This window comes from Homo sapiens, chromosome 6 (assembly GCF_000001405.40).
Source record: "Homo sapiens chromosome 6, GRCh38.p14 Primary Assembly".
Classification (NCBI taxonomy): domain Eukaryota; kingdom Metazoa; phylum Chordata; class Mammalia; order Primates; family Hominidae; genus Homo; species Homo sapiens.
The window spans coordinates 99,361,202-99,368,336 of record NC_000006.12 but is presented as its reverse complement, the minus strand read 5'-3'; positions in this window follow the sequence as shown (position 1 = coordinate 99,368,336).

Sequence of the window (7,135 nt, the reverse complement as noted above, 5' to 3'; positions counted from 1 at the left end):
TTATTATTGAATCATCTTGAAGCAATTATTACTGAATCATCTTGAATTTCTAGTACTTAACAATGTATATATTTAATAACTGTGAAAGTTAGGCATCTCTTTCTACAATAAATGAGTTTTGTTTTGGGGACTGCTTTTGAAGCAATTCCATTACATATTTCTTAGATTAATACCAATACTTCTTCTAATAGATAGAGTGAGGAGGCTTAATTTACTAAGAAAACCACTAGAAAACAGACTAAGAATCAAACTTTTAGATGAAGTCCAGTGGAAACTCCTAATTTTTAGTCCCCTAATTAGTCACTGGCAACTGAAGTTAAAAATTTTTCTTCTAATTCTTGAAATTTCACTTTCTTCCCCTAAAATGCCACTGAAAAAAAGAAAAAAAGCTAAGATAGTTGGGAAGTGTTTGCCCAAGGAACCTAAACCAACAGACATTGACAAAGGAATATAGAAAACCTATGAACTGAAAAGTGGAAAAGGCAGAAATAAAAGCTGACCTCTACATGGGCCACACAGCATCCATCTGTGTTGTCACATTTGGCCAACACATTCTGTGTGTGTCCTTATGCAGCATCCAGATTTTCAGAAAAAGCCAGAGACTCACGTACTTCAAGAGGCATAAAAATATATTTCATGTTAGTCCTTTTCATTATAAAAATGTTAGCTGAAAAAGGAAGTTTCCATAACTAAATTGTTGTTGTTGTTGTTTGAGACAGAAACTCACTCTGTCACACAGGCTGGAGTGCAATGGCACGATCTCGGCTCACTGTAACCTCTATTAATTCCTTTGGAATTAATAGATAAAAATATATCTTGCCTCTATGTATAATCTAATTTGATCTTGCAGGCCAACTTCAATCATATTCCAGAAGAAATAGACTTTTAAAAGACATTACAATTTCTTAAATGTGTATTTGTAAAGTGAGGATTACCCAGCTGAAAAGTCCTAATTTTGAGAACCACCTATTTTTGAAAACCAGGAAAGTATCAATTACAGTTATAGTAGAAACTTTAATATGCAAAACTTCCCTTAGGAACACTGGGGGCATAAGAGTCCCTGCAATAAATAATGGCGGAAACTTTAGGGCTGATAGTCCAGCAAAAGAGACCGTAGATCTGTCTTAGGAAGAAAAGGAACAAGGCTGGAGAGAGCAGGAAGGTGAATTTGCTTGGGATTTTGGTTTAGGGTTGGAGGAACAGTGATGGGAAGCTGAGAGATGACCTGAATGAATATGCATACCCTACTTATAAAAGTAGATGACTCACATAGTCCTCATGAAGGCAATCAGATTGCTCAGTGGGGCTACTAATTATAAAAACTCCTAGACCATTTAAGGTTGACTCCCAGAGCTATGAGCACTAGGAGAGCAAAACTTTCAGCACATGGAAGTAGTAATAAATGATGGTAGGAAGAGTCACAAGAGAGAAGTCAAGTGGTGTAGCTTTTTCGAAAACATCCATAAGGAACCATAGAAGCCAGCACCCAGTACACGCACAAAACACCTGTAGAACCTAGAGGAGACTTCTGGCAAGATTCCAGAAACTAGCAACAGTAATGAATAAAATCAATAAAACATGTGCATGTTCTACATATTTCCTCATAGTAAAACATGACAACAAAAATCTTTCTTTTATTTTACATCTTTCAGGAGGCACTAGAATTGTCAGCATCCATTCCTTAAATTATGCCTGAGTGTTCTCAAATGAAAATGTCACTGTTACTACAACTGTAAGCTTAGAAAACTTCCTATTTTTGATAATAATGTCAGGATTTAGAAGTCAGGAGTATCATTTACATAGTCAGGAGCATAATTTACCCAATCTCTATGTAAACAAATCTTCCTCAAATTATCTATTTTAAGCATGCCATCTCTTTCCTGTTGGAAACCTCACAGATATACTGACCCCATGCCCTGACCTCTTCTTCAGTTGTTTCTCATTGCTCATAAGATACAAGGCCTAAATCCTTTAACATGGCTACCAAGTGCCCACATGTAGCCCTACCTACTTCTCAGGGCTGTTTGTTTGCTTTTTGACAAGTTTGCTGTATTTGAATGACAGAACAGTTCATTACAAGTCTTTTGCATTATTTTATTTTATTTTTTTGAGATGCAGTCTCACTCTGTCTTCCAGGCTGGAGACCAGTGGAGTGATCTTGACTAACTGCAACCTCTACCTCTCAAGTTCAAGCAATTCTCCTGCCTCAGCCTCCCGAGTAGCTGGGACTACAGGCTAAATGCATGGCTAATTTTTTTGTATTTTTAGTAGAGATGGGGTTTCACCATGTTGGCCAGGCTGGTCTCAAACTCCTGACCTCAAGAGATCCGCTTGTCTTGGCCTCCCAAAGTGCTGGGATTACAGGCATGAGCCACTGTGCCCAGCTTTTTGCATTATTTTAAACTTTACATTTTAAAATAATTTAAAAATAATTTCAGACTTAGAATAAAGGATACAAAAGTAATACAAAGAGTTCCCATATATCCTTTATTCAGCTTCCCCAAATGTTCACAATTTTAACCACATTATAATTATAAAAACCAGGAAATTAAATTTGATACAATACAGTTATCTAATCTAAAAACCTTATTTAAATTGTATTAATTGTGCCACTAGTTGGTTCTTTTTTTTTTCCTTTTGAAACAAGATCCCACATTGCATTAAATTGTCATGTCTTCTTAGTTTCTTTTAATTTGGGATGGTTCCTCCATCCTTCTTTAACATTCATGACTTTGACACTTGAAGAGCACTGGAGAGTTATTTAGAATGTACCTTAACTTGAGTTTTTCTGAATTTTCTTTGTGATTAAATTCTGATAATGCATTTTTGGAAAGAATACCACAGACATGATACTGTACTCTTCTCCACCTCAATGCATCCTATCAGGAGTTACATAATGTCAATTTGCCTTGTTACTGGTGATGTTAACTTTCATCACTTGACTAAGGTGTTGTCTACCAGGTTCCTTCACGGTAAAGTTAGTATTTTTCCCTTTGAAATGGATGAGTATCTTGCAGCAAGATACCCCTAGAAATATATAAATATTCTGTTTTTCATCATATTTTGCCCATTAGTTGTATCATCCATTGATGCTTATTGCTTGAAACTATTATGCCTATGGTGTTTGTCTCTTTCTACACTTATTAATGGAATTCTTCTGAAAGGAAGAGCTGTCCCTTTTCCTCCATTTACTTATTTATTTACATCCATATAGACTCATGGATATTTATTATCATTGATATGTTATTATTATTCATTACCATTTCATGATATGATTATTCATTATTATTTTCTTTTTCAACTTGTCCCAGATTTGGCCATTGGAACCACTCCTGTGTCCTTTCATGTCCCCATAATTTTTTTTTTTTTTTTTTTTTGAGACAGAGTCCTGCTCTGTCACCCAAGCTGGAGTGCAGTGGAGTGATCTCGGCTTGCTGCAAGCTCCGCCTCCCAGGTTCAAGCAATTCTCCTGCCTCAGCCTCCTGACTAGCTGGGATTACAGGCGCCTGCCACCACGCCCGGCTAATTTTCGTATTTTTTTAGTAGAGACAGGGTATCGCCATGTTGGCGAGTCTGATCTTGAATTCCTGACCTCAAGTGATCTGCCTGCCTTGGCCTCCCAAAGGGCTAGGGTTACAGGCGTGAGCCACCATGCCTAGCCTAATTTTTTGAACACCACATTTTTTCTGGCACCATAAGATGCTCCGGGTTCAACTTGTGTTTTTCCTGAACCAGCCCTGGAAATCGAGGGACTCTAATACCTTTAATTGGAGAATGGTATTTAGAAACCAAGATCTGAGCACCAACGACTCTTGTAACTACTGAGGTGTCATTGATTCCAGGTTCAGCAGATAGCTAGGAAATATGTGAATGCATACAAATATACATATCTCTATTTCTGTATCTGCGGGTGTGTTGTTTGTGTGTATATAATAATGAATTCATACTGATACCTCTGATTCCAATCCAACATCACAGCGTTTATTCCAACGTTCCTCCTTTCTTTATTTGTAACCCTTTCTCTGACAATGAGAAACCTAGCTCTCATTATTCACAGTATATTCAGTTATTTACTCAATTCCAGAATGCTTAGTTTCACAATTGCTAACTCATACCACTGCGAGTTAGTTCTTTTCCTTCTCATCTATCTCAGCATGTTATTCATTTGTAACACAGTTGGGTTCTTATGGTACTCTGTGTGTGTGTGTGTATGTGTGTGTGTGTGTGTGTATCTATCTATATTTTTTGAGACAGGTCTCACTCCAGGCCGGCGTGCAGTATCCCAAGCATAGCTCAGTGCAGCCTTGAACTCCTGGGCTCAAATGATCCTTCTACCTCAGCTTCTTGAGTAGCTAGTGCTACAGGTGCATGCCACCATACCTGGCTAATTTTTTTTGAGACGGAGTCTCATGTTGTCGCCCAGGCTGGAGTGCAGTGGTGCAATCTCGGCTCACTGCAACTTCCACCTCCAGAATTCAAGCGATTCTCATGCCTTAGCCTCCTGAGTAGCTGGGATTACTGGCGTACACCACCACGCCCAGCTAACTTTTGTATTTTTAGTAGAGACAGGGTTTCACCATGTTGGCCAGGCTGGTCTCGAACTCCTGACCTCAAGTGATCTGCCTGCCTCAGCCTCCCAAAGTGCTGGGATTTACAAGCATGAGCCACTGTGCCCAGTCTACCCGGCTAATTTTTTTTTTTGAGTTGGAGTCTCGCTCTGTCACCCAGTCTGGAGTGCAGTGGCATGATCTTGGCTCACTGCAAGCTCCGCCTCCCGGGTTCATGCCATTCTCCTGCCTCAGCCTCCCGAGTAGCTGGGACTACAGGCACCCGCCACCACGCCCAGATAATTTTTTTGTATTTTTAGTAGAGATGGGGTTTCACCGTGTTAGCCAGGATGGTCTCGATCTCCTGACCTCGTGGTCTGCCTGCCTCGGCCTTCCAAAGTGCTGGGATTACAGGCATGAGCCACTGCACCTGGCCCTACACAGCTAATTCTTAAAAATCATTTGCAGAGACAGGGTCTCACTATGTTGGCCAAGCTGGTCTTCTGCCCTCAAGTGATTCTTCTGCCTTTGCCTCACAAAGCGTTAATATTACAGGCATGAGCCACTGCATCTGGCCTGATATTTCATTTTGGGTCTGTCTTTGCCCACATCTTGGCTAATTTAAGTTATTTCCTTTGGAAATACATGCCACTAACATAGTACTGAAAGTCAGAACTATACAAAAGTTATACTCAGAGACATGTCACTCTCCTATATGCCTTCTACTCTGTTTCCATCTGCCCCATTCTTTCCATCCATTCTTGCTTACTCATTGTAAGTGACCAATCTCATTATTCTTCTGGTTTTGTGGGTTTTGCAGAAATGAACAGAAATGTATATTATTTCCCCCCTTGCTTACATGAAAAGTGGCAAACTATTGGTAGTGTTTTGCACTTTGTCCCAGGCTTCATGTTGTTACATTGTTATGGGAACTGTTGCTCAGTTCTCCCTCCACTGTCAGGAACATTTAAACTCTCTCACCACTAGCCACCCACCCCTTCACTTAGTTCACTCTACTTCTCAGTCTGACCTCAGCCCAAGCATCACCTCTCCTGGGGACATTTCTCTGATCTCCCTGACTAGGGCAATACCATTTTAATATTATACTTTATTTCCTTTCTTGTAGCACTTACTGCAATTGCAGGCTTAGATTTATCCATGTGAATATTTGATTCGAATTTGTCTCACATAAGTACTGTGTGGGCTGGGACCACTGTTCTGCTGTGTTCACTATTGCATCCCCTGATCCAGTTTGGTGCCTGGCACATGATATGTGTTTATTGAATAAAAAAATGAATGAATGAAGTATTGGTAATATATTCCAACAAAGTTCCAATAAAGTCAGTAATCTGGATATCTGACAGGTTACTACTGTAGGCTTTTTTTTTTTCTTTTTGGAGACGAAGTCTTGCTCTGTTGCCCATGCTGGAGTGCAATGGCGTGATCTCGGCTCACTGCAACCTCTGCCTCCCATGTTCAAGTGATTCTCCTGCCTCAGCCTCCCGAGTATCTCGGATTACAGGCATGTGCCACCATGTCCAGCTAATTTTTATATTTTTAGTAGAGACGGGGTTTCACCATGTTGGCCAGGCTGGTCTTGAACTCCTGAACCTCAGGTGAACCACCCGCCTCAGCCTTCCAAAGTGCTGGGATTATAGGCATGAGCCACCATGCTCAGCCAATTTTGTGAATAATAGGTTCAAAACTTATCCTTTCTTCACTTTGGGTCTACCACCTTCAGAGAAGGCCAAATAAATAAAAACAATTTTCTTGAGGTTTTGAAAAGTATTTAATCTGCCTGTCTTTATTCTCAATTTCCCCTTATCTTTTCCTAAGAATATGGCCTGTTTTCATCTTTCTAAAGATTAACCCATGCCATCCCCAATGCCTGGAGAGCCTCCTTTTTGTTCCCCACTAACTGCTCCTCAGTGACCCTCTTAGCCACCTGTGAACAGACATAGCCAAGTCTCATGGATGTTCTCTAAACCTCTTCCCTTCTGTAGCAAAATAACTCTGTATTTTAGCTACATTTCTCAACCTTCTTTGCAGCTAGATGTGGCCATGCCTTTTAGTTATGGCCAATGAAATGTAAATAGAAATAATACGCGTAACTTTCAAGAAGTGTCCTTAAAAATATGCCCTTTTCTGTGCCCTTCCTCCTTCCTGCTGGCTGAAAAGAGGACATGATGGCTTAAACTGGAGCAGTCATCTCAGACTTTCAGCTGGAGAAACAAGATTGAGAAGCCTGAGATGTGAAGTACTATGTTATCCCTAGGCAGTTTACTTCCATACTTGAGAGAAGAGAGAGAGACACACACAGAGAGGCAGAGAGAATCAACTTGTTTGAGCTACTGATGTTTGGGTTTTCTGTCACTCACAGCCAAAATCTTAATTCATTGTAGCTTACTTTACCATAACATCCAGACCTAGAGCCAAATTACCACTTAGAGAGCAGGGATAAATAACCCAAACAAAGCTCACATCTGTTGATTGGAGGATCCCACACAAAGGAAAGCAATGATTTAGGAATCATTATAAGAATGACCACTTTAGGTCTAGGGGACCATGATGACATAAGGATGAAGTCA